General features: G+C 57.9%; 2 protein-coding genes across 8 annotated transcripts in view, besides 10 other annotated features; both read left to right on the forward strand.

Moving 5' to 3' along the window:
• Positions 1 to 10,100, forward strand: part of TBC1D24 (TBC1 domain family member 24) — a 30,604-nt gene extending 20,504 nt beyond the window's left edge. For 2 of the 6 annotated variants that reach the window (NM_001199107.2, XM_047434388.1), the window contains exons 2-8: positions 404 to 1,483; positions 2,080 to 2,097; positions 2,608 to 2,766; positions 3,727 to 3,790; positions 4,205 to 4,300; positions 4,638 to 4,860; positions 5,174 to 10,100. In NM_001199107.2, coding sequence (NP_001186036.1) covers positions 519 to 1,483; positions 2,080 to 2,097; positions 2,608 to 2,766; positions 3,727 to 3,790; positions 4,205 to 4,300; positions 4,638 to 4,860; positions 5,174 to 5,328 — 1,680 coding nt within the window. In that variant the 5' untranslated portion in view covers positions 404 to 518 and the 3' untranslated portion in view covers positions 5,329 to 10,100. The remainder of the gene's footprint in view (positions 1 to 403; positions 1,484 to 2,079; positions 2,098 to 2,607; positions 2,767 to 3,726; positions 3,791 to 4,204; positions 4,301 to 4,637; positions 4,861 to 5,173) is intronic. The other 4 variants (NM_020705.3, XM_017023494.2, XM_017023493.2 and 1 more) reach the window with 3 other exon arrangements.
• Positions 1,186 to 1,791: an enhancer, noted in NCBI's record as "H3K4me1 hESC enhancer chr16:2546817-2547422 (GRCh37/hg19 assembly coordinates)". NCBI's record gives its function as "activates a minimal SCP1, AML or CMV promoter by ChIP-STARR-seq in primed H9 embryonic stem cells {active_cell/tissue: H9 hESC(primed)}" and the evidence as "EXISTENCE:reporter gene assay evidence [ECO:0000049][PMID:30033119]".
• Positions 4,464 to 5,281: an enhancer, noted in NCBI's record as "H3K4me1 hESC enhancer chr16:2550095-2550912 (GRCh37/hg19 assembly coordinates)". NCBI's record gives its function as "activates a minimal SCP1, AML or CMV promoter by ChIP-STARR-seq in primed H9 embryonic stem cells {active_cell/tissue: H9 hESC(primed)}" and the evidence as "EXISTENCE:reporter gene assay evidence [ECO:0000049][PMID:30033119]".
• Positions 11,559 to 12,059: an enhancer, noted in NCBI's record as "H3K4me1 hESC enhancer chr16:2557190-2557690 (GRCh37/hg19 assembly coordinates)". NCBI's record gives its function as "activates a minimal SCP1, AML or CMV promoter by ChIP-STARR-seq in naive and primed H9 embryonic stem cells {active_cell/tissue: H9 hESC(naive and primed)}" and the evidence as "EXISTENCE:reporter gene assay evidence [ECO:0000049][PMID:30033119]".
• Positions 12,060 to 12,560: an enhancer, noted in NCBI's record as "H3K4me1 hESC enhancer chr16:2557691-2558191 (GRCh37/hg19 assembly coordinates)". NCBI's record gives its function as "activates a minimal SCP1, AML or CMV promoter by ChIP-STARR-seq in naive and primed H9 embryonic stem cells {active_cell/tissue: H9 hESC(naive and primed)}" and the evidence as "EXISTENCE:reporter gene assay evidence [ECO:0000049][PMID:30033119]".
• Positions 14,207 to 14,316: an enhancer, noted in NCBI's record as "active region_10270". NCBI's record gives its function as "activates an Ori minimal core promoter by ATAC-STARR-seq in GM12878 lymphoblastoid cells {active_cell/tissue: GM12878}" and the evidence as "EXISTENCE:reporter gene assay evidence [ECO:0000049][PMID:35858748]".
• Positions 14,377 to 14,446: an enhancer, noted in NCBI's record as "active region_10271". NCBI's record gives its function as "activates an Ori minimal core promoter by ATAC-STARR-seq in GM12878 lymphoblastoid cells {active_cell/tissue: GM12878}" and the evidence as "EXISTENCE:reporter gene assay evidence [ECO:0000049][PMID:35858748]".
• Positions 15,444 to 16,047: an enhancer, noted in NCBI's record as "H3K4me1 hESC enhancer chr16:2561075-2561678 (GRCh37/hg19 assembly coordinates)". NCBI's record gives its function as "activates a minimal SCP1, AML or CMV promoter by ChIP-STARR-seq in primed H9 embryonic stem cells {active_cell/tissue: H9 hESC(primed)}" and the evidence as "EXISTENCE:reporter gene assay evidence [ECO:0000049][PMID:30033119]".
• Positions 16,838 to 17,132: an enhancer, noted in NCBI's record as "tiled region #4251; K562 Activating DNase matched - State 5:Enh". NCBI's record gives its function as "activates a minimal TATA promoter and a strong SV40 promoter by Sharpr-MPRA in K562 cells {active_cell/tissue: K562}" and the evidence as "EXISTENCE:reporter gene assay evidence [ECO:0000049][PMID:27701403]".
• Positions 18,038 to 18,517: a silencer, noted in NCBI's record as "silent region_7056". NCBI's record gives its function as "represses an Ori minimal core promoter by ATAC-STARR-seq in GM12878 lymphoblastoid cells {active_cell/tissue: GM12878}" and the evidence as "EXISTENCE:reporter gene assay evidence [ECO:0000049][PMID:35858748]".
• ATP6V0C (ATPase H+ transporting V0 subunit c) lies at positions 18,096 to 24,588 on the forward strand. Of its 2 annotated transcripts, NM_001198569.2 has the most exons (4): positions 18,096 to 18,146; positions 18,450 to 18,552; positions 23,588 to 23,771; positions 23,911 to 24,588. In NM_001198569.2, the coding sequence occupies exons 2-4, from the start codon at positions 18,474 to 18,476 to the stop codon at positions 24,113 to 24,115; spliced, it is 468 nt and encodes a 155-aa protein (NP_001185498.1). In that variant the 5' UTR covers positions 18,096 to 18,146; positions 18,450 to 18,473; the 3' UTR covers positions 24,116 to 24,588. The 2 variants fall into 2 exon arrangements, with proteins under 2 accessions (NP_001185498.1, NP_001685.1); NM_001694.4 differs by lacking the exon at positions 18,096 to 18,146 and having other exon boundaries at positions 18,322 to 18,552.
• Positions 18,938 to 19,077: a silencer, noted in NCBI's record as "silent region_7057". NCBI's record gives its function as "represses an Ori minimal core promoter by ATAC-STARR-seq in GM12878 lymphoblastoid cells {active_cell/tissue: GM12878}" and the evidence as "EXISTENCE:reporter gene assay evidence [ECO:0000049][PMID:35858748]".

Consider the following 24,600-nt stretch of genomic DNA (forward strand, 5'->3'; position numbering starts at 1 on the left):
TAGCCAGGCATGGTGGTGCATGCCTTTAGTCCCAGCTACTCAGAAGGCTGAGTCTGGAGAATCGCTTGAACCAGGGGCGAGGAGGTTGCCGTGAGTGGAGATCGTGACACTGTACTCCAGCCTGGGCGACAGGGTGAGACTCCATCTCAAAAAAAAAAATTAACTGGGCATGGTGGTGGACACCTGTCGTCCCAGCTACTCAGGAGGCTGAGGCAGGAAGATGGTTCAAGCCATTCAAGGCTGCAGAGAGCAGGGTCACGCCACTGCACCGCACTCCAACCTGGGCAACAGAGCGAGACCCTGTCTCAAAAGAAAAGAAAACTACACCACATTTGAAAAAATACGTTCTTTAAAATGTGAACCTTGAAACACAGATGCTAAAAGTGTTTTTTTAATCCTGCAGGGTGTGAGATGGCAGACAGGTTTGCAGGAAACCCTCAGAAAGGGGGCTGGAGGATTTAGCCACTCTGTCCTCCCCTTCCGGCAGTCCAGGGCCTCCTCCCGAGCACAGCGGCGCTATGGACTCTCCAGGATACAACTGCTTCGTGGACAAAGACAAGATGGACGCTGCCATCCAGGACCTGGGGCCCAAGGAGCTGAGCTGCACTGAACTGCAGGAACTGAAGCAGCTGGCGCGCCAGGGCTACTGGGCCCAAAGCCACGCCCTGCGGGGAAAGGTGTACCAGCGCCTGATCCGGGACATTCCCTGCCGCACGGTCACGCCTGACGCCAGCGTGTACAGCGACATCGTGGGCAAGATCGTGGGCAAGCACAGCAGCAGCTGCCTGCCGCTGCCCGAGTTCGTGGACAACACGCAGGTGCCCAGCTACTGCCTGAATGCACGCGGCGAGGGGGCCGTGCGCAAGATCCTCCTGTGCCTGGCCAACCAGTTCCCCGACATCTCCTTCTGCCCCGCCCTGCCGGCCGTGGTGGCCCTGCTGCTGCACTACAGCATCGACGAGGCCGAGTGCTTCGAGAAGGCCTGCCGCATCCTGGCCTGCAATGACCCCGGCAGGAGGCTGATCGACCAGAGCTTCCTGGCCTTTGAGTCGTCCTGCATGACGTTTGGGGACCTGGTGAACAAGTACTGCCAGGCGGCCCACAAGCTGATGGTGGCCGTGTCGGAGGATGTCCTGCAGGTCTATGCGGACTGGCAGCGCTGGCTGTTTGGGGAGCTGCCCCTCTGCTACTTCGCCCGGGTCTTTGACGTCTTCCTGGTGGAGGGCTACAAGGTGCTGTACCGCGTGGCGCTGGCCATCCTCAAGTTCTTCCACAAGGTGAGGGCCGGGCAGCCGCTGGAGTCGGACAGCGTGAAGCAGGACATCCGCACGTTCGTCAGAGACATCGCGAAGACGGTGTCCCCTGAGAAGCTGCTGGAGAAAGCGTTCGCCATCCGCCTCTTCTCCCGCAAGGAGATCCAGCTCCTGCAGATGGCCAATGAGAAAGCCCTGAAGCAGAAGGGCATCACCGTGAAGCAGAAGAGGTAGGTCGCCGGCAGCCTGTGAGGGGTACACCCAGGGTCGGGGGCTGGGGCAGGACGTGTCTGGCGTGAGCTCATCCTGCCGGCCTCCAGGCGGCCTCTGCCCATGGTCCACCCAGCCATCTGTGCATGGCTGAAAAGACACTGAAACAGGAAGGGCCTTCCCAGTTACAGCCACAGACGAGGGACATCGGGTCCTATCCTCTGGGGCCAGGCCCACGGCTGAGATGAAAGCTGATGCTGGCCATGGGGTCGCAAGGCATCGTGGGAGGCCAGGCCCACTCCCAGGGTCATTTCAGGGCAGCCTCTGCTCCACCCCTCCGGCTCTGGGCTCCGTGGCTGGTCTCTGCTGTGGCTGCTGGGCGTGGCCTCCCCGCCTGGAGCACAGCCCCAGGGGAGCAGGGTCAGGAGTTCATGGTGTCTGTCCTATGTGGATTTGGCAGCCAGCGCTGTGATGGTGCCACGCTGCGGCCTGTTGGCGTGCAGCCCTCTTTCTTCTGGGCCAGCAAAGGCCTGTCGGGGGATCGGTACTCACACTAACCTCTCTTTGTCTGTTTTATTTTTCTTCTCCATGTCCGTTGCTTTCTCCTGTTTTTCAGTGTGTCACTTTCTAAAAGGTAGGTCTGAAACTGTATCTGCACACCTGGCCTCTGTCTTTCCACCAGGCTGACTCTAGGCCAGCTGCTTGCTCTGGGTCTCAGGGCTGCTCTCGTGGGCCAGCTTCAGCAGCGCTGCCTCTGAGCCGGACTGATGCTCAGGCGCCTTCTGTCTGTCTGTCTGCCTGCCTCCCTGCCTGTCTGCCTCTGTCATGCTATCTGCTGGTGTTTGGCTCACCCTGAAGCCTTGTCTTGCCAGAGCAGTTGCTCTCTGTCCTGATTTCTTAGAGAAAAGTTGCATTGTCCCCATCCAAGCTGGGCACTTTCCCTTCTGTAATGGGTGGGAGGTGGGGCTCCTGGGAACTTTCTCCCCGTTGGGCACCTAGAACCCGGCCCTAAACCGGGGCCGGGGCAAGCAGGCGAGAAGTTCCCTCTGGGTTTACTTCCAAAGAGGCTCTGGGGCATACCTCGGGGGGCATGGCCTGGCCCCAGACGTGCCTTCGGGCTCTGACCCCTGCTCGCTCCCCTCAGGCAGTTTGTACACTTGGCCGTCCATGCAGAGAACTTCCGCTCGGAGATCGTCAGCGTGAGGGAGATGAGAGACATCTGGTCCTGGGTCCCCGAGCGCTTTGCCCTGTGCCAGCCCCTTCTGCTGTTCTCCTCCCTGCAGCACGGGTACAGCCTGGCCAGGTAACACCCCAAGGGGCCAGAGCGGGCGGCAGAGCCGCCCAGCCACGTGTCCTGCCCACAGAGGCTGGAAATGGGCCTCAAACCTCGGCACCTGGTGAGGCCCTGCTTCTTCCTGTGGGGCCTAAGAATCAGGGTCCCTTTCTGGGCTCTGTCCTCCCCACACCACCCAGACTTTGGGGGTCATGGCAGGCGTGCCACAGCTTGGGGCCATGCAGGCGTCGTGAAGACGCCTGGGAGGCAGGATCCCCACCTTGGAGCTCACAGCATTGTCTTGGTTGGGGGACCATGTGGGCGGCAGGTCCTGGCTGTGCTCGCTCCCCACCCTGTCATCCACATGGTGCTCTGTCGGGGGCCTGGGGCATGCTGCCCTCCAGGGTGGTGCTGCCAGGTGCAGCCAGGGAGCCTCCCTCCAGCCTTGGACAGCATGTGGCCGTGGGAGCTCTGGGTTGGGCCTGGGGTGACCTGGGGGTGAGGCAGGCAGAGCTGGTCCAGCCCCCACCCAGCACCGTTCACAGGTTCATAACAACTCAAGCATTTTGGCACAGCTGGAGCCACTTCTCCTGGCCCTGCCAAGGACACCAGCCAAGCTCCAGGCGCCACGTTGGCAGACCAGGGCCTCTTTGGCTCCCACATGCCTGGGCTGCGAGGATGGCCCAAACCTCCCCACCGCAGGGACCTGTTCCTCTGGTTCCTGCTTCCCCAGCCCCTGGCGCTTGGCTCTGCACTGGGGCCTTCCACTGCAAGGCCTCTCCCCTGAGTCACACCAGGGCAGGCTGTCCTGGGGATGGCAGAGAAGGGCCAGGTGAGAAGAACACCTGGGTGAGGGTGTTGTCGGGACCCAGAGAGAAGGAAGCACAGTTCCCAGGTCTTCGCCCCAAGACAGCTGGGGCCAGCGGAGGCTGCAGGAGGCGGCTGGGAGGGTGTGCAGGGTGACAGCTGGCATGCGTGTCTCTACGCCAGGTTCTACTTCCAGTGTGAAGGACATGAGCCTACCCTCTTGCTCATCAAGACCACGCAGAAGGAGGTGAGCAGGGGCCCTGGAGCCAGGGCTGGCTCTGATGGGCTCCAGGGCTGGCTCTGATGGGCTCCAGGGCTGGCTCTGATGGGCTTCAGGGCCTAGGCCTCCTGGGCCAGATCCAGAGTCAGAGCGTGGGTATGGCCAGCACATGGGGCTCATCCCACACTCAGGGCCACAAGGGGAAATGAGACTATCCCCAACACAGCCCCCGCCCACCCTCATTGCCAGCCCCAAGCCAGGGGCAGGGTGCACACACCTGCAACACTGCCTTTCCCACACCACTCCTGCCCTGGGGTGGGGGTGGGAGACGGCAATGCCTGCACCCCCACCTGTGACCTGGGACAGGCCCGTCAGTAGTCTGGAGCACAGGGACGCTCCTGGGGGCCTGCGGGCACAGCCTCACCCAGACCTTTCCCCCAGGTGTGTGGTGCTTACCTGTCCACAGACTGGAGTGAGAGAAATAAGTTTGGAGGCAAACTGGGCTTCTTTGGGACCGGAGAATGCTTTGTGTTTAGGGTGAGTGGGGCCAAGTGTCCCCAAACCCCCACGCAGACCCTGTAGCTGCATCCCTCCAGGAGCACCCGCCTGCCCTGGGGACACTGTTGGGTGTCGCCATGGCAGTCACCCAGCAGCGTCATCGCCCTGTGTGCTTCCGGGTTTGATCATTCAGCCGTGCGCTGCTCCGGGGCAGGGGGCTTCATCTGCTCGAGCCACCAGCTCCCCAGCCCCTGGCTCGGGCTGCACCCACCTTGGGCTCTGGGTGCAGATTCACGGGATGAAACGGGTTGTGGCTCTGGGGCAGAGGGGCCTGCGAACGCCCGCGCCAGCTCCTCACACTCCCCTTCCACCCCAGCTGCAGCCTGAGGTGCAGCGCTACGAGTGGGTGGTGATCAAGCACCCCGAGCTGACCAAGCCCCCACCCTTGATGGCTGCCGAGCCCACCGCCCCACTCAGCCACTCCGCCTCCTCAGACCCCGCTGACCGCCTCTCGCCCTTCCTGGCCGCTCGCCACTTCAACCTGCCCTCCAAGACCGAGTCCATGTTCATGGCGGGGGGCAGCGACTGCCTCATCGTCGGTGAGCGCCAGCAGACGGGGCTCTGGGATGAGGGTGTGGGGTCCGGGCAGCTGAAGCTGCTGCACCCAGCCCTCCCTGACCGGGGTGGCAGAGAAGAGGCCCTGGGTGTCAGGGTGGACCAGGCATGATGGGTGGGAGGGGGCTGGAAGGGAGAGACCAGCCTGGACAGCTGGTCCTGGGGGCTATGGAGGGTCAACGGTCTGTGCGGTTTCAGAGAGGCCCGTGCAGGGCAGGACAGCTGGGACAGCAGGTGAGGTGCCTGGGTCAGTGCTGATAGGGCAGTCAGGCCGCCACTGACCTGAGCATCCTGCAGGGGGAGGAGGCGGCCAGGCGCTCTACATCGATGGGGACCTGAACCGGGGCCGCACAAGCCACTGCGACACCTTCAACAACCAGCCCCTCTGCTCCGAGAACTTCCTCATTGCTGCCGTGGAGGCCTGGGGCTTCCAGGACCCTGACACCCAGTGACGGCCTGTGCCACGGTGACTGAGCCGTGGTGGGGCGGTGGGCCGAGGCTGGGCTGCCGCCTCGGGCAGCAGAGAGCAGATGAAACCCCCATGTGGTAGGCAGGGTTGGGGGACGGCAGGACCCCATGGCCAAGCCTGGCGTTGCCTGGACCTGCTGCTGCCTCTACCTGGGGTTTGGGCTGGGCTTCCCCAGTCCACCTGCATCTGGGTCAGAGCTGGAGGGCCTGCTGTGCCCCCAGCCCCACCCAGAGCTGGCATAGGAAGTACCTTCCTCCTCCGTGGAGGCTTCCATAGCCCAAGGCCTTGGGAGTGTCTGGGTCTTGCTGCCCCTGAGCCTCTCTAGGCAGCCTGAGCCCCTGGGGTGGGAGTACAACGGCAGTGGGAACGTGCAGCTAAGGGTGGGCCTGTGGTGCCCCCTGCTGGTGCCGCATAGCATCGCGCCCTCCTGAGCAGGGCCCTGCAGCCTGGCTGGCTGGCGACTGAATCCCAGCGTAGATCCCGAGAACAGACTGGCACCCTTGGGCCTGCCCCCTGGCGGACCCCACCCCCTGTCCTGGGCGTTTGCCCCAGTTCCCTCCCCAGGCCTCCTGGGCCACCTCTCACATTAACCCTTCTTGGCTGCCTCTGAGGCTCCCCTGGGCTGCGTTTGGGAGCTGCTGGGTGGGAGGAGGAGGGTGGGATTTGTGCTGGGCTCCACCCCCAGGGAGGGTGGGAGCTGGAGGGGGATGTCACATGTCCTTGTGTTTCTGCAGAGCCTGAAGCTTTTGCTGGGCCTCCCTGCGTGTTCCCATCTGAAGAGGTAGCCCCGGGAGAGGCCCTCAGGGACCGACCCAGACCAGCAAGCTCCATTTCCAGGGGTCTGCCCAGAGAAGCCTGGACCCAGGGGGCTTCTCAGCTCCCCTCCCTTCCAGCCCAGGCCTCCTTGAGCTCCTGTAGCCTCTGCAGCTGCCCATTTCACCTCTTTGTCATTGCAATGACCTGGGGCCCAGGGTCACGCCCAAGCCCCTCTTTGTGGCATGCTCATCTCAGTGCAGCCCCAACTGCTTCTCTGCACCAGGCCCCGTGCCCTCCCCTGGCCCTGGCCACACAGCACCTCCTTGGCCACCTTGCATGGATGCATGTCCTCCCTCTGTCCCTCTTGTGGTGCTGTGGCTGGCCACGTGTCAGGGTTTTCTGTGAGCCTCTCACCTTACAGCCTTTGGGCCCCTGGGCCCCTGCCCTGCCTGAGCCCTGCGCTGGCCAGACGCAGGTAGGTGCCAGGGGAGGCCTTGCCTCTGGGCACTATAGGGGGCAGCCCCCTGCCTTGTGACCTCCCTCCATGCCCCATGACCTCCTTCAACTCGTCTTGAGGGTCTGGTCACCACGGAGGGGAGAAGGGAGACACAGAGGCCCAAGTGGCTGTTCTGGGACCATGGAAGCCTGGGTCACAGAGGCAGGTACCAGCAGTCCTGCCCCCACCCCCGTCCCTGCTGGCCTCCAGCCAGTGCCACTTGGAGTCCCCTGCACCGTGCCACTTTCCATCCCCACACCATTGCCTGCTCCTCCCATGGGGCTTTAGCCTCCCCTGACCATCTGCTCATGTAGCCTCTGACTGGGCGCACAGTGGTGCAGGAGGAAGGACCGGGAACCCTGTGTGGCTTTGGGCAAGCTGACAAACCCGTCTGGAACTCAGTTTCCCCAGCTGTGAAATGGGGCCAGTCCCCATGCCCTGCTGTCCTCCTCACAGGACTGTTGAGAGGCTCGCAGGGGGATGGGGTGAATCCCTCTCACGGGGAGAGGTATGGGAGGGAAGTCGCCACTCATCTCAGCCCACCGCAGCCCTCCAGGCCCCCGCCTGAGCCCCTGAGGCCCTCATCTGTACCGCCAGCTTTGGTGTTCATTAAACATGGTCTTGCTGCATCAACTCCAGGGCTCCAAGCTGAGTCTGATCTCTTCAGCCAGAGGGGCCTCCGGGGGCTTCCTGGGCCTACAGCCAAGCAGGTGTGGGAGGCTGCCCGCTGTAGTGCTCACCCACATTCTATGACTGGAATGCTGCAAGCCTCTTCCAGAGGGAGCCCTCCAGGAGCAGGGAAGTCATATCCGTGGACCATTTGTAGGTTTCCCTCTGCAAACTTCCTGAACTGGGTGGTGATTTTTCTGGCGAGTTAAGTCCAGCAGGTTCTGCGTGGCTGCCCCCAGGGGGCCCCACCCGGGCCTTCCAGTGATCTGGACCAGGAAGACGGATTGCTGCTGGGTCATGATTTCCACATCATGAGCGAAGTTCTTTGTTTTTTGTGTGCATGCAAAATATTGTTTCTTTAAATTTAATATCTTTTCCTAACTTTTCTACTAACCTAGAAGGTATGTGTGATTATTATCTTTTTTATTCTTATCACTGTACTTGTTAGTATCTGATATTAGGTATTCCCAAATAGAACATAATTTATTTTGTTAATGTTCTCTATTTCTTCTTGATTATTTATTAGCTTTGGATGTTAAAAATTAGCCAAAAGTGGCTGCTCTGCCTATGAAGTAGCCATTCTTTGTTTAAAAAAAAAAAAAGCCAACATTTGTTGAAACTGCATAATAAATTATCATTTGTTTTTAGAAACATTCAAAGAATTATTTTTTGATTTTTTTTTTTTTTGGGACAGAGTCACCCAGGCTGGAGTGCAGTGGCATGATCTTGGCTCACTGCAACCTCCGCCTCCTGGGTTCAAGCGATTCTCCTGCCTCAGCCTCCTGAGTAGCTGGGATTACAGGCATACGCCACCACGCCCAGCTAAATTTTTTTTGTATTTTTAGTAGAGGCAGGGTTTCACTGTGTTGGTCAGGCTGGTCTTGAACTCCTGACCTCGTGATCCACCCCCCCCTCAGCCTCCCAAAGTGCTGGGATTACAGGCGTGAGCCACCGCGCCTAGCCTATTTTTTAATTTTTTTGAATAGACCACTTTGTGCTGAATAAATGTTTAACATTTATTTTTAAAACAACAATTGCACCTAATTTAAAATAGTTTATTAAATGAATTCATTAAAGCAGATTATATGCCTTTGGGGCTTCAGAAAATCAGTTTAAGCAAAAGAACTTATGAGAGTAAGTCATTTGTACTTGAATTTTTTCAGAGTTTTAATGAACTAAAGTATTTTAATTTTTCTATTTTTGTAAGCCGCATACTTCATTTTTTGAGTTTTTCAGTGGAATTTGTTTTAAAACGTTTTGAAGATTTCAGAGGCCTTCATATTTCTCTTATCCACTTTCTGAACCCATAAAGCCTTTGCAGTCTCCTTGAGTAGTTTATATTTAGTAATTTAGTTGTGTACCTTTTTATTTTGAAGTAATTTTTGATTTGCAGAAGAGTTGCAGAGACGGTACAGGGTTTCCATGTACCCTCACCTTCCCCCAAGTCAATATCAAAACAAAGAAATAAGCATTGTTGCATTGCTGTTAACTAAACCACAGGCCTATTGAGATTGTCCCTTTTTTTTTTTTTTTTTTTTTTGAGACAGAGTCTCGCTCTGTCGCCCAGGCTGGAGTGCAGTGGCGCGATCTCGGCTCACCGCAAGCCCCGCCTCCCGGATTCACGCCATTCTCCTGCCTCAGCCTCCTGAGTAGCTGGGACTACAGGCACCTGCTACCACACCCGGCTAATTTTTTTATATTTTTAGTAGAGATGGGGTTTCACCGTGTTAGCCAGGATGGTCTTGATCTCCTGACCTCGTGATCTGCCCTCCTCGGCCTCCCAAAGTGCTGGGATTACAGGCGTGAGCAACCGCGCCCAGCCGAGATTGCCCCGTTTTTTTCCCACTGTCCAGGAATCGATTTAATTTTTACAGTTGTTTACTTTCTCACATTTTTACTAAGTCCAGAATATCATCAAACTCACAAAACCACTGGTCAAAAAAACCCAAATGGCCACTAATTAGGCAATACAGCACCTGCCTCAAATTTGGGTTCATATAGATTTTTTTCCTCCCTTTTTGTGGAGAACATAGTCTTGCTGTGTTGCCCAGGCTAGTCTTGAACTCCTGGACTCAAGCAATCCTCCCGCCTCTGCCTCCCTAAATTCTGGGATTACAGGCGTGAGCTGCTGTGCCCAGCTCATCCAGATTCTTGCTGGTTCTCTTTCTCAGCCTAAATGTCTTGTTTGCGTGGAGAAATTATCAAATGAAGCAGGAGTGCCAAACAAGCCTCATAGGCTCTTCACCCTACAACATCTATGTTAGGTAGAAAAGTATGTGGATTTTTAAAAATCATCTGGTATAAAGAGTTTTTAAGAACTATCTTCATCATCTTAGTATCAGATTGTGCTTGAGAAGTTAGGTACAATGTAATGTGATTCATTGCTAAAAACAAAATGCCTCCCACAATTGCAGACTCACTCATTTTACCAAACTATGGAATTTGTCAACACCTTTTCTTGGGACCAAGGAAGCAAAGTCAGTGGATACCGTGTCCTGTAGACATGTCACTTGTGATAAGGCACGGACAACATGAACTGGCAAAAACATTGGCATTTGGTCAAATGCTTATGAGCTAAGGATAGAAGGGAAAAAATAGTTGTGTGAATGATTTTACCTCTTAGTTCTTACGAAGGATGGTTATCGGGCTGGAAAAATGTTTATTGGACTGATGCTTTGGAGCCTCTCAATGAATGTAATAAAAAAAATGTGTAGTGAGCACAAATGTATGGATTTGCAGCACAATCCAACTTTGAAAATGTGAAAATAAGTGAGTTAGTGATATGTTTGGTTGGTGTTAATTTGAGTCCTAAATAAAATCGAGAACTGGTAAAAGAAGGTCACTGTGAAATAACTTGCTATGAGAAGGCTTAGAGGGATGGGAAGTCCTGGACGCCTCTTCTCCAGGGTGTTGGAGGAGAGAGGGAGGCGCTAGGTTGACAAGACCGCATCTGCGCATTGTGGTCACCAGCGAGTCTCTCCACTGAGGCGACAGGTACATGTCTGTCGCATTTGCAGCCGTGGCCGGTGAGAACGGCAGCATTCCCTGATCCGTCTTGTTTTCTTTTGTTCCTAGTGCCTGCTGTGTGGACAGCTACACTCAGCAAAGTCTTAGGGAGACTTAGAGGAGTCACCATGAAGAATCAGTGTCAGACGTTTCATCAGGAATCCCTGTCAAGGCCGGGTGTGGTGGCTCACACCCGTAATCCCAAGACTTTAGGAGGCTGAGGTGGGTGGATTGTTTGAGGCCAGGAGTTTGAGAGCAGCCTGGGCAGCACAGGGAGACTCCATCTCCACAAAAAAATAGTGAAGAACCCCTGTCGTGTGTAAAACACGAGTATCAAAAAACAAACTCAACCTTTCTCATTCAAAATTTCAAAATGAGTATTTCCTTTGAAAGTTTGCGTCTCTCTCTCTCTCTCTCTCTCTCTCTCTCTCTATATATATATATATATATATATAATTTTTTTTTTTTTGAGATGGACTCTCACTCTGCCACCTAGGCTGGACTGCAGTGGTTCAATCTCGGCTCACTGCAAGCCCCACCTCCTGGGTTCACACCATTCTCCTGCCTCAGCCTCCCGAGTAGCTGGGACTACAGGCACCTGCCACCACGCCCGGCTAATTTTTTTGTATTTTTAGTAGAGACGGGGTTTCACCCTGTTAGCTAGGATGGAATTATCTCCTGACCTCGTGATCCACCCGCCTCGGCCTCGCAAAGTGCTGGGATTACAGGCGTGAGCCACCGCGCCTGGCCACGTCAATATTAATGAATGTCTTTTTTTTTGTTTGAGACGGAGTCTTGCTGTATCGCCCAGCCTGGAATGTGGTGGTGCGATCTTGGCTCACTGCAACTTCCAACTTCCAGGTTTGAGGTATCCTCCTGCCTCAGCCTCCTGAGTAGCTGGGATTACAGGCACCTGCCACCATGTCCGGCTAATTTTTGTATTTTCAGTAGAGACCGGATTTCACCATGTTGGCCGGGCTGGTCCCTAACTCCTGGCCTCAAGTTATCCGCCTGCCTCGGCCTCCCAAAGTGCTGGGATTATAGGGGTGAGCCACCGTGCCCGGCCACGTCTTTTTAGTACCTTGTGTTTAATTGTGGATCGGTATAATACAAAGAAAAATAGAATGCCTTTTTTCTTTTGAGCCCTGCACAGATGCCCCCTCCCTGTCCAGTTCCTCCAGTGAGACCGAGGCTGCTGGGGGCCCTCCCTGCAGCTGCTGTGGAGCCTCTGCCTGCCGTCACGTGAGCTGCCTCTGCCCACTCTATGCTCCTGGGTTCCTCTTCCCCAGACTGGCCACGGGGGTGGCCCCTTCCTGCCAAGCCCTCTTTCTTTGCTCCTCTGAACACCTTCCTTCAGTACCTTCAGGGGACTGTTGGGGCAGCACCTGTCCCGGGTCTGAGAGGCCTCCTGGTCTGCTAGCCTGGCAGGAAGCTTGGCCCCCAACACAGCCACAGGCTCTCTGGCACCAGGTTTCTTTCAGTTCCTCTGAACTGAAAGCCTCTGTTTCCCGGCCTTTGCGCGTGCTATTTGCCACTCCTCATGCCTGGGCCCTAGTGTCCCTCCCAGGATTTCCCTGAGCTCCCCGCTGAGGCCGGGTCCGCGTTCTAGCTTCACAGCACCTGAGACAGGTGTTGGCTGGTCTCCCCACCCCCTGTCCTAAAGACTGTCAGTCTCAAGGGGCAGGAGTGCCTAGCACTGCAGAATGAACTGAAGCCCCTGTGGGTTGGTGTGCGCTGCTGCTGTGCGTCCAGGGTGATCAGAGATTCTCCAGGTGTGCTCCTGGGGCCTGTGGTGGCGGGACACCCCCTTCCCACACCCGCCACGCTCCCTGCAGTAACTCTTGCACTTACTGTAAGTGCTCGGACTGTCTTGTGCTTGACATTAGGACACACACTCAGGCCAGAATTGGGCAAGATTGTCCCTGAGCGGGGCGTGCAGAGCGCTCTGGCCTGGGAGGTGGGGCGCAGGGCTGCTTCCTCCTGCAGGCCAGCTCACTGTGGGGCTGGTGTCTGCCCAGAGCTTGGCCAGGCAGTGCCGCCCCCTCCCTTCCTGCCGCCTCTACCAGCAGCCTTCCCTCAGGCTGCTTTCCGGGCCTAGTCTGTGGCAGGTGTCCAGGGCACAGTCTTCCCTCTAGCCTGCCATGAAACTGTTTCATTTTTCTTTTAAAAAAATTGAAGTGAAATTGACATACTATCCAACCATTTGAACGACCCCAGACAGAGGTGGTGGTTGCATGAATGAGCATGTTGTGGAACCACCACCTCCAGTTCCATGGCATTTCCCCACTCCTAAAGGAAAACCTGGCCCCAGCAAGCAGCTGCTCCCCATGCCTCTCTATCTTATGACTTTGGGTTTCATTTTCATGTTTTTGTTTTTTTGAGATGGAGTCTTGCTCTGTCACCCAGGCTGGAGTGCAGTGGCATGATCTCTGCTCACTGCAACCTCCCCGTCCCGGGTTCAAGCGATTATCCTGCCTCAGCCTCCCTAGTAGCTGGGATTACAGGCACCCGCCACCACACCCGGCTAATTTTTGCATTTTTAGTACAGACGGGATTTCACCATGTCGGCCAGGCTGGTCTCCAACTCCTGACCATAGGTGATCCGCCCACTTTGGCCTCACAAAGTGCTGGGATTACAGGTGTGAGCCATGTGCCCGACCAGTCTGTGACTTACTTAAATACAGACTGGATCATGTTTCTCCCCTGCTCTATGCCCTCTCTTCATCTTTCAAGTCCTAATTCAGAGATCACCTCTTCTGCGACCCACCGAGCTAGTCCCAGCACCTCCTTCCCTTGTCCCCCCTGCTTCTAGGAACCACACTTCTGGTGCGGCATTGGCTGTACCGTTGGGGACGCTACTGCTCCCTGGTAGGCTGCCAGGTCTTGAGGGTAGGGACTCTAACTTGTCTTTGTCTGGCAGGGGCCTCACTCAGCACCTGGCACAATAGTAGGTGCTCAGGGAACTGAATGAATGGATCAGGGTCTGAGGCGGGCAAGGGCTGCGGCGGTGAGCCCTGACCCCCTGGGTGGAGTGTGAGGAGGCCGTGTTGGCCTTCAGGGTGCACCCTGAAACCAGACATGGGGTCCAGGCTGCCTAGGGCTGAGCGTTTATCTGACACCCGTTCTGAAAAACCTGGTCGTGGTGCAGGTGCAGCCCCCGGCCCTGGTCATTTGGAAGTTTGTGTCCAAAAAAACCCAATGGCTACTATAGCACCTGTGAGCCAATGGGGTCCTCCACCTGCCCACCTGCCTGCAGAAGAAACGCCGAACACTGCTGCCTAGTGGTCAGGGCCGGCTGGACTCCCTGCCCACCCCACTGGGTCCTCAAAGAGGAGGGCCCACTCAGGCCCTTTTCCATCAACCCTGAAAGCTTGGGGTGAGCGAGAAGGGGGAGCTGCCCTGTCCTTGGGGTCATTGCAGTCGTCTGCCTCCAACCTCTTGCCCCCTCAGTGCCTGCTGTCCAGCGGGAGCAGCTCAGGGCTCCACCTCCCCTGCCGCCCTCGACTTTGGGGAGCCTCCTTGCACCAAGCAGCTTGTACGGTGCCGAGTCCTACTTGCACCACGTTGTCTTTACCTCTGGCATTTTATTTTATTTAAACATGGGAGGCAGAGCTTGCGGTGAGCTGAGATTGCGCCACTGCAATCCAGCCTGGGTGACAGAGTGAGACTCCATCTCAAAAACAAAAAACAAAAAACAAAAAACTTCACTGTATCATTGTTTAAGCCTTAACTTTTAATGATAAGAAAATAAAGCACCTTTGGTCATACCCCTGATGGTACACCTGTGTTCTTGGCCCATTTCCTCCGGCCCTGCTGGGGCCACACATGGCTCTCCTGGAAGCAGGTCAAGAGTGCCCAGTGCCATCTCCCAGCATTGTGCCCCTCTGGGTGTGTCCTCAGGGCAACTCAGAAGGATAGCTGTCTCCAGGAGCAGGTGCCTGCAGGGACACTGTCATCTGCAGATGAGGCTGCCCCCCAGCCCTTTGTGATGGCTTCTTCCGGAGAAGTTGATCTCCCCAGTCACTCTTGGGACTTTATTCCTTGTCTCTTTATCCCCATCCTCCCCTACCCTTGCCGGGGTCTCTGCAAAATGCTGCTGGTCCCTCCTGCAGAAGCCCACCCTACATTTCTCTACGGCTTCTGTTGGGGTCTCTGACCTGAGTTTCTCAAAGCCCCTCCCCCAGTTCCTGGAAATCCCCGCTGCTGTAGCAGTGACAGGCCAGGGGCTCGTGACTTGTGGTTTCACGCCAGGGGGGACGTAGCTGTGAGGGAGGAGAGAGATGTGTGTCCCTGGCCATCCCCACCCCAGAGTCCACTCCACCCTGGGGTCCTGCCCGGTGCTGGGAGACCAAGGAGAAGGAGATCTGGGTCCTTCCTAGACCTGTCACTGGTCATCAGTCATCTGTGGAGCCCACCACAGAGGCAGGCCCTGGAGCTCCAGTTTCAGGTTCCCTTGGCAGCTGCTAGCTGGATGCCTGGCAAGGCTCTTAACCTTCTGAGGCCTGTTTCGCTGACCAGAAAATGAGGGTCACGGTGAGAGTGAGGGGTGACGGTGCCCAGACAGGGCCTGGCCCACCCTGGTGCTCAGGAAATCTCTCCTGTGTGTGTCTGGCACCCTACCAGGTCAAGGACACAGAAAAAGAGTCACAGCGACCCTCAGTGGGGGAGGCAGTGAGCGGAAAAAAAAAATCACAGAGGTTGGGCGTGGGCTCACGCCTGTAATCCCAGCACTTTGGGAGGCCGAGGCAGGTGGATCACGAGGTCAGAAGATCGAGACCATCCCGGCTAACACGGTGAAACCCCATCTCTACTAAAAATACAAAAAATTAGCCGGGCGTGGTGGCCGGCGCCTGTAGTCCCAGCTACTCCAGAGGCTGAGGCAGGAGAATCGCTTGAACCCGGGAGGTGGAGGTTGCAGTGAGCCAAGATCGCGCCACTGCACTCCAGCCTGGGTGACAGAGTGAGACGCCATCTCAAAAAAAAAAAAAAAAAAATCACAGAGTGTGAGGGGAGCATCCAGAGAGGCCTGAAGGGGGTGTCTGAGGAGGAAGAAGGAGGGGAAGGAAAGTGGGGGCTTCCTGGAGGAGGTGGTGTTCTAAATACTGAGACCCATTTCTTTTTTTTTTTTTTTGAGACAGAGTCTCACTCTGTCGCCCAGGCTGGAATGCAGTGAGGCTGTCTCAGCTCACTGCAACCTCCGCCTCCCGGGTTCAAGCGATTCTCCTGCCTCAGCCTCTGCAGTAGCTGGGATTACAGGTGTGTGCCACCACGCCCAGCTAATTTTTTGTATTTTTAGTAGAGACAGGGTTTAACTGTGTTAGCCAGGAGGTCTCCATCTCCTGACTCGTGATCCACCCGCCTCGGCCTCCCAAAATGTTGGGATTATAGGCACCCCGCCAACTGAGGTGCATTTCTTAAGTAGGGAGTGAGGAAGAGAGTTGGTGCAGACACAGGTGATGCAGACACGTTGGGGGGCTGGTGATGAGAAGCGGGAGGGGACCAGGGAGGGCTCTTGAGGGGCCGAAGGATTCCAGGATGGAAAGTGCCCTTTGGAAAGAACCTGTGGCTTTAAGGTGAAGACTCGGTTGATTGGGGGTAGGCGATGAGAAGACCTAGGCCAGGCAGCGGCAGGGGCAGGGGCGCGGGCGCGGACACAAGCTGGGGAGGCAGGATCTCGGGATCCTGAGTAATACAGAGTGGGGAGGGAGCAGTGGCGTGACGTCAGGCTGCGGGGGGATGGGCGTGCCTTCTGCGGGAATGGAAATAGCCCAGTGGAAGGTGGTGGTGAAGGGGTGGGGGCGAGCTCAGCTTCAGACACGCCAGCTTGAAGTGTCAGGAGCCACACTGGAGACCCGGTGTGACCTCTCACACTAGAACTTAGGCAGAAAATGAATGGGTAAGAGGCCAGTGAGCACAGCTGACCCACTCCCTGCTCCTGCAAGAGGGAAGTCTCTCCACGTCCCCATGTCCCCAGTCCTGGTGTTTCAGCCACAATGGAGTTAGGTGCTCTTTGCCCACCCTACAATGTTTTGTTTGAGACGAGGTCTCACTTTGTTGCCCAGGCTGGTCTTAAACTCCTGGGATCAAGCAATCCTCCTGCCTCGGCCTCCCACAGTGCTGGGATTACAGGCGGGAGCCACCGTGCCCAGCCCACCCCTGAGCTTGGACTGTGCTGTTTCTCCATGGTGGGCTGCTCTGCGCCACCTTTCCTTGGTCTGAATTCGGCCCCAGGCACAGCCTTCCTGGCCTAGGCTTTCCTGGAGGGCTTGGAGTTATGGGGGCAGGCACTGGTGTTGCTCTCACTCAGAGGGCGGTCGGGGCTGGAATGGTGCAGGTGAGGGACAAGACGGCGTAAGATGGGGGACAAAGCCAGGGAAAGGATGGGATCAAGCAGGGGAAGGGCAGAGCTAGGGGTAGCCCTGGGTATGCCAGGACCTGCAGCAAAATTGGGGCTACAGGGCCTTGTGACTCCAGGAAGAATGAGGGCGTCTGAGATTTAGGAAGTCCGCAGGAGAGAGGAGAGTGTGTGGAGAGGGTGGCAGGCCACGCAGCACAGAGGTCCACTTGGACAGCCTGACAGATGTCCTTCTGCTTAGAGAAATGGCGGTCACCAGTGACCTTGGCAAGGGCAAGGAGCTGGAGAGGGAAGGGCAGGTGAGGAGGTGGAGACAGAGTGAAGATTCGTCTTCTCAGAAACAAGGGCCGGGCAAGAAAGAGGGAGGAGCAGAAAGGGCCTCTGGCCGTATCTGTTGCCTCCTCTCCTTTGAACCAGGACAGACTTAGGGACTTTCACGGGCTGCAAGTTCCAAGAGTGGCAGACCCAGGCTAGCCTGGGGAAGGGGCTTGAGGGAGGCTCCTGCTGGGGAAGGTGGGGCTGAGTCCAGCAGGAGGGCCAGACCAGGGGCCATGACCCCATTGCCTACATAGAGAAGGTGATGAGCCAGCATCCAGGCTACTCAGGGAGAGCTCTAACCCAGGATGAGGCCTTAGAGCTCAAAGGACACTCAGGCCTGGTGGCAGCTGCCCAGGGCCCCTGAAAGGGGGAATGGAGATCAGGCAGAGGGGGTGCCAGGGACTGCCACACAGGATCAGTAGGGCAGCGCCAGCCCTGGCTGGGCTGCTTTCACGGCTGCGGGAACCGCTCCAACTGCTCCAGAAAGACAGAAAGATGGCCCTGAAGGTGCAGGCTTTGCGTGAGTGGGTGGCTGCAAGGACAGGTGGGAGGACCAGGACGCCAGAACGTGCAGAGCCCGGGGGGCCTCCAGAGGTCGCAGTTCCGACAGGGCTTCCACCAGTCATGCCTACATCTTGAGGGGCAGAGACACACCCCACTAATGTTTGGGTCCCTGATGCAAAGGCAGAGACAGGTGCGGGGAGGGGGTCCTTTTTCTCCGAAGCGAGAGGTGAAGTCACCAACTGCTGGGTCAGAGGCAGTAGGTCTGGGTCTGGAGGAGACTGGGGACAGGGTGGAGGGAGGTGACCGCAGCCACGGGCTGGGACTTCACAGGTGTGGGCTGGGGGCTTTTCCGGACGCTGTGGCAGAGGAGGCCCGCGCGCCGCACATCTGCTGGGACCCTTAGCTCGCCCAGGATTGGTAGGGAGATCCTGGAAGACCAGCGCCCGGAGGGGTGAGGCCCCGTCTTGGGGGCAAGGCCGCGAAACCACGGCCTGCAGCTTCACGCCAGGGGTACAAAGAAAAGCGTCGCCGGGAACCCAACACCTGCAGACGACGCGCAGCCGCAGAGGAGGCGGGGCGTCCGAGGCCCCGCCCCGTATGCTAATGAAGCACACACCACACCGCCCCGCCCCGGCGCGAGACCGGTCCAACGCTGCGGAGATCCAGAGGCCGGCGGCGCCCGGAAACACCCGCGGAGGCCGAGGCAGGGCGGGGCCGGGCGCCGGGGCCGGGTCGCTGGGCGGGCGGCACAGCCCGGGGGAGGTCAACGGGCCGGCCGGGCGTCCCGGGGACGCGTCTCCCCCACGGTGCGAAGTGGTACGGCTCGCAGGGGCGGGGCCCAGGTCATGTGACGCGGCCGCGGCCGCCATTTTGTTCTGCGGTGCTGGTATTTAGAGCGCAGCGGCTGACGGGCCGGATCGCCTTCGCCGCCGCCCGCCCGCAAACCTTCGTGCCCGGCCCGTCCTCGCCCCCGCCTCCGCCACCGCCTCGGCCCGCAGAGCTTGCCCCCTCCCCACCCGCAGACATGTCCGAGTCCAAGAGCGGCCCCGAGTATGCTTCGTTTTTCGCCGTCATGGGCGCCTCGGCCGCCATGGTCTTCAGCGGTGAGCGCGGCGGCGGGAGGGACTCGGGGGCGGGGGCGCGCGCGTTGCTCATGCCCGCAGCTCGCCGGGGTCCGGTGTGTGACGTCACTCTGACGTAATCCCGAGCTGTCGGGGGCGCCCGGGCCTCGTGTGACAGCGGGCGGGGGTCGGCGCCCCGAGGGCTGCGGGGAGCCGCCGGGGGTCCGGGGCGCAGGGCGTGCGGGCCTGGCCGGGGTGTGAGTCTCGGGGGTCCGGGCCGGCGGCCCTGCCAGCCGGGTCGTGCGGTTGCGGGGGTGGGGCGGCGGCGCCGCTGCCATATTAGCCCCGGGAGCGGCGAGAGGGAGGCTGGGGTGGGGGCGCGAGGGGGGCGGCGCGAGGGGGGCCGATTCTGCGGGCAGGTGACATCACACCTCGAAGGCCCCAGTGCGCGGGCGGCGGCGCGGGTCCGGCCCAGGAACGCCCAGCCGGTCGCTGGAGCTTTCCGGCTGGTGGGGAGCCCATGTCCCCCACGGGAGGTCCTCAGCCCTCGCCCTTATGGCGGCCGGCCCCGAGGGTCAGGTGGGTCTCACCCACAGGCAGGTACTTCCGGTTGGAGCTGGTTACAGTTGCCCAATACCCGTGTCGCTGTGTGGGCTGTTTGGGAAAGCTGGGCTGAGGGCTTGGTTCGGAGAGCCCGCGGAGACCCGGGTGGGAGTGTGTGGAAGTGGAGGGAGCGGGGAGACAGCAGCATCGGCGCTGGCGGGGCTGTGTAGCTTGCAGAGGGTCTGTGCTCTGAGGTGGGTGAGAGGGTGGCATGGGTGTCCGAGTTTATGGGATCCAGTCGTTGCCCTCAGGACTGAGGCTTCCAGTTGTGGTCCTAATGAATGGAGGGGTGAATGAATGACCTTCCTTTCCCTCCCTGAGGCCTGAAGTTGGGAGGGGCTTCCCTGGGCTTGGAGAAGGGGCCTTCTAGGGTTCTTGGTGGCACCCTGCTTTTGAAATTGGGCCTTGACAGGTCCTGGGCGTCCAATTTAGTGACAATTGGTCTCCCTGGGAGAATGGCACTTGGGCTAGGGCTAGGCCCAGGAATGTGGGTCCGACGAGTTAAGTTCTGGCCCAGTCTCAGCCTCCGTGGACTGGCCTGGCCTGGTCTGATTTCCGCCTCCGTGGTTAGGTCTGGTTTTAGCTTTGATGACCGTGCCCTGCCCCACCCTGCCTGGTGGCCTGGGGAGGCTCCTAGTGCAGATATGTGGAGGGTTTGAACTCCAAACAGTCTCTGCTGACTGTAAACACCTGTGGGGTGGGGGCTTGGAGCTCTCTGTTCTCTTGCGGGCCTCCTTCTGCCTGGGCCTGTCTGCCATTCGTGAGTGAGCCCTGGCCTTCCCGTCGTGTGCAAGTAAGGGGTCATTTGTGGTGGAAGAAGTGGTCTAGACTTCTCCTTCCCCCTAGGCACCGCCTGCTCTTTCCACAGACTCAAGGCTTCTCCCAACAGGCTGCCGAGCCCTTCCCCCCAGCCTCCTCTGTTCTTTGCCCTCAGAATGCCTTCAGAGATTCCATTTTGCCTGGCCACCTGTGGGGTATTAGCTTGTGGCTGTCACTCATTCATCCAAACAATCTTGATTGAGCGCTTACTATGTGCCAGGTACTGGTAGGACAGCAGTGAACAAAATGGGATCCCCGCCCATGTGGAACTTAAATTCTAGCTGTTGCTGCTTGCCCTTGAAGCCCTGAGTTTGTCCACCAAGCCCTTTTTCTGCACCCAGCTCCTTTCCTCTCTCTCCGTCAAGACCTACACAGGTCTTTGGGCAGCCTGACCAGCAGGTGTCTGGAAATTGAGAACACGGTATTGCTGGCCTAGGCCTTTCCTGCTTATCCCTGGCTCTTCGGGATAAACGTGGCTTACTGTGGCTCTCCAGGAGCTGACCTCTGACTTCACTTGGCCAATTCAGACAACTGCTTTTTTTTTTTTTTTTTTTTTTCTCCCCTCCTCAAGACAGGGTCTTGCTCTGTTTCCCAGGCTGGAGTGCAGTGGTGTGGTCATGGCTCACTACAGCCTCAACCTCCCAGGCTCAAGCAATCCTCCTGCCTCAGCCTCCTGAATAACTAGGACTACAGGCACAGGCTACCATGCCCAGCTAATTTTTTTTTTTTAGAGACAGGGTCTCGCCATGTGGCTCAGGCTGGTCTCAAACTCCTTGTTGCCTCAAACGATCCACCTGCTTCTGCCTCGTAAAGGGCTGGGATTATAGGCATGAGCCACCATGACTGGCTCAACTTCTGACTTCATTTCTGCCTTCTCAGCATGCTTTCCTCCAGGACCTGGCTTCACCTGCTGTGCCGACCTAAACAAGCCCCCTGCCCTCCAGTGGCCTCTGCTGTTGCCACAACGCCAACCTCCAGCTGTGTCCCCAGCTCCTGGCCCTTGGCCTGCCTGGCACTGACGGATTGGTCTTAAACCGAATGAGGTCCACAAACCTCTTGCAGGCCCCCGTCCCAGCTTCCCCTTTTTTTTCTCATGACAAATGTCCTGTTCTTTCTTCATCATGTCCTTCAAGAAGTTGTCATTTGCTCCTTTTCTGTATTTCCTGTGACTTCCTCCCTGCTGGCGAGTGCCTTGTATTTTATGCTTGTGTTTCTGCAACTGCTTTCTGGCCCCCCACTCTTTCTGTGGCTGCTGAGCCTAGTGCCGCTCACAGGTCTGCCTTCTGCAGTCTGGTCAGGCTTGGCCTCCGGACTGGAGTCCAGGGTGCTCATGGTATTCCGCTCCTGGTGGCCATCCCTTTCTTCCCTGTGCTCCTCTTGGTGCCTCCTCCCCCTGCCAGCCACATGATTCTTCCTGCTGCCCTCTGTAGAAAAGGGCCTGGCTCACTTCCTGCCTCTGGTGGACTACTGGCCTCACAGGGTCCACTACTTGGGTTGCTGAGTTCCCTGTATTCAGTCTCCTGCCAACGTGTCTGCCATGCTCTGGTCTCTTGTGCATACATGATGCAGTTGGATGTGGTCCTGGGCCTGCAGTGGGAGCCCCCTAAAATGCACTGTAATTGCTCTATATGCTTGCCAGGGAAAAAATGCACTGTAACCAGGAGTTCAGGACAGGCGCTGGGACAGGCCCTGGGCCCCAGTCTGCAGGTGCACTGGGTGTTGGCATGGCATGTCTGGGCACCTCCAAGGTGGCGTGGAGGAGGCCGTGTGGCTCCCTGGCCCAGGTCCCAGCCTCCTTCCTCCCTCTATAGTCACTCCCTGGATACCCAGCACCGTCGTCTTGGGTGCCTCTGCAGGTGCTATCCAGAGCCCTTGTCTTATTGCCTTGTTTTTCTGTGACTCCTCTCTCCCGCCAACTTGGGATACTTGTCTGTGAAGCCCTTCCCCAGCACCCCCTTCTCCGCTCTCCTGGAGCATGTCTCTGTGCCTGGAGGTCACCGCGCCTGTGTCCTCACCCCTGCTGAGTGCTGGGACACAGGGTAGGCAAGTTTTGTGGCCCAAATATATCAATAAAATATGAAGAGGAATGGTAGGGGTAGTCCTGGTCCCTTCCACCTCTGACATATGTAGTCTTCTGCAGGTCAGGCTGTTTGTGTGTGTGTGTGTGTGTGTGTGTGTGTGTGTGTGTGTGTCTGTCAGAGATTCACTCTTGTTGTTTGTTTGAGACGGAGTCTCTCTGTGTCGCCCAGGCTGGAGTGCAGTGGCGTGATCTTGACTCACTGCAACCTCCACTCCTGGGTTCAGGCGATTCTCCTGCCTCAGCCTCCCTAGTAACTGGGATGACAGGCATGCGCCACCACTCCTGGCTAATTTTTGTATTTTTAGTAGAGACGAGGTTTCACCATGTTACCCAGGCTAATCTCGAACTTCTGACACCAGGTGATCCGCCCGCCTTGGCCTCCTAAAGTGCTGGGATTACAGGCGTGAGCCACTGCGCCTGGCCAAGTCAGGCTGGTTATTGATCTGCTCCCCTAAAAGACCATGGCATGAGTTCTGTGGGCAGAGAGGGGGCAGGGAGTTGCCAGTGCAGTCCCCACAAGCAGCTCAGTAGGCCCCTGTGGTGGCCCTGGAGGGCAGCTGGCAGAAGTCAGAAAGGCAAATGAGCCCCCGTGACACTGCTGTGTCCACAGAATTCTCCACTTTGAGAATAGGGCCCAGGAGAGGGGAACTGAAAAGAAAGGCAACATTCTCTTGGGAGAGGAAGGAGGGACAGCTCTGGAGGAGACAGGCCACCCTGGAGCCCAGCCCACCAGCACTGTTGCGGTGGGAGGCTTGGGCCCTCTGGCCAGGCTCCTGTGTGCTTGGAGCCACCCCGTGTGCAGGGGAGACCTCTCTGGGAGGTCAGCTGAGGCCTCGTAGTTGGACTGTTGATGATCCCCGTCGTCTTCTCTGCCCCCATCCTCTTCTTGGCTCACCCTGTCTCCTGTCTGGTAGAGAAGATTCTCCAATCTGTCAAGGGTTCAGGCCTGCTGTGTGGCTGAGGGTGCTGAGAGCTGCCCTTTCTGGCAGAATGTTTGGCCCTCCTAGGTTAATATTTGGGGCTGGGAGCGTTGGGGAGCTTGGCCTGGGCAGTGAGTCAAGGGAGCTCTGGCCTGGGTGACAAGAGTGGCCAGGTCAGCTGCTTCTGACCCTCCGGTCACACCCTGTAGCAGTGGCTTTGCCATCCCCAAGACCTTTGGTGGCTTTTCCAGCATGTTGTCCTGGGCAGTAGCCCCAAGGGTCGACTGACCCTGACCCCACATGGGGGCTGCTGAGGCTGCACTGAGGCTCCCTGGGGTGACAGGTGGGTTCACTGCAGAGCCAGGAGCCCCAGATGGGTCACGCCGCCCCAAGAGCTGCTGCTGGAGGAAGAGCTGGACTCTGAGGGTGGGGGCCTCACGTAGAGGAAGGAGGAGTGGCTGTCCTGGCCTCCTTTTGCTTGCCCGTGGCTGTTCCTCCTGGGTCCTCTTGCCCTGGGCTGGATGCCTTCTTCGGCTCCCCCTCTGCATGTGATAACTTGGGGTGGCCCTTGGAGCTGTGCCAAAGCTACACCTCGGGGTCCTAGTCTCAACTGGCCTGCGTACTGCTGTGGGCTCACCCCGCCTTCCTCCCACAGCCCTGGGCGCTGCCTATGGCACAGCCAAGAGCGGTACCGGCATTGCGGCCATGTCTGTCATGCGGCCGGAGCAGATCATGAAGTCCATCATCCCAGTGGTCATGGCTGGCATCATCGCCATCTACGGCCTGGTGGTGGCAGTCCTCATCGCCAACTCCCTGAATGACGACATCAGCCTCTACAAGTGAGCACTGGGGTCAGGCCCCTGCCCAGGGCTGGAGGACTGCAGGGAGGGGGGCGGTTCACCTGTGGGTGGTGACCCGGACCCTTGTCTCCCCCTGGTTGGCAGGCTGCTGATGTCAGTCCTCTCTTCTCGCCCCCAGGAGCTTCCTCCAGCTGGGCGCCGGCCTGAGCGTGGGCCTGAGCGGCCTGGCAGCCGGCTTTGCCATCGGCATCGTGGGGGACGCTGGCGTGCGGGGCACCGCCCAGCAGCCCCGACTATTCGTGGGCATGATCCTGATTCTCATCTTCGCCGAGGTGCTCGGCCTCTACGGTCTCATCGTCGCCCTCATCCTCTCCACAAAGTAGACCCTCTCCGAGCCCACCAGCCACAGAATATTATGTAAAGACCACCCCTCCTCATTCCAGAACGAACAGCCTGACACATACGCACGGGGCCGCCGCCCCCAGTAGTTGGTCTTGTACATGCGCAGTGTCCTAGTGCCCATCGTCTGTTTCCCCGGCCTTGCCCCCGCCCGCCCCGTGCCGTGGACATCTGGGCCCACTCATCGCCCCTCCAGGCCCCCGGCGCCCCACCCCCTAGAGTGCTCTGTGTATGCGGATGATTTAGAATTGTCATTTCTCTTTACTGGATGTTTATTTATAAAGATCTGGCCTGTTCCTGCGTCTGCGGAGCGGCCCTTGTCTCCCAGCTATCTATAACCTTAGCTAGAGTGTCGCCTTGTGGGTTCCTGTTGCTGAGACTTCCTGGATGGAGCCGCCCTCACCGCCGGGCCCGTGGCCCTGCGCGGAGCTGTGTCCAATAAAGTTCTTGGATGTGACGGGCCTGTGTC

The sequence above is a fragment of the Homo sapiens genome, chromosome 16 (genome assembly GCF_000001405.40).
Source record: "Homo sapiens chromosome 16, GRCh38.p14 Primary Assembly".
In the NCBI taxonomy this organism is placed as follows: Eukaryota; Metazoa; Chordata; class Mammalia; order Primates; family Hominidae; genus Homo; species Homo sapiens.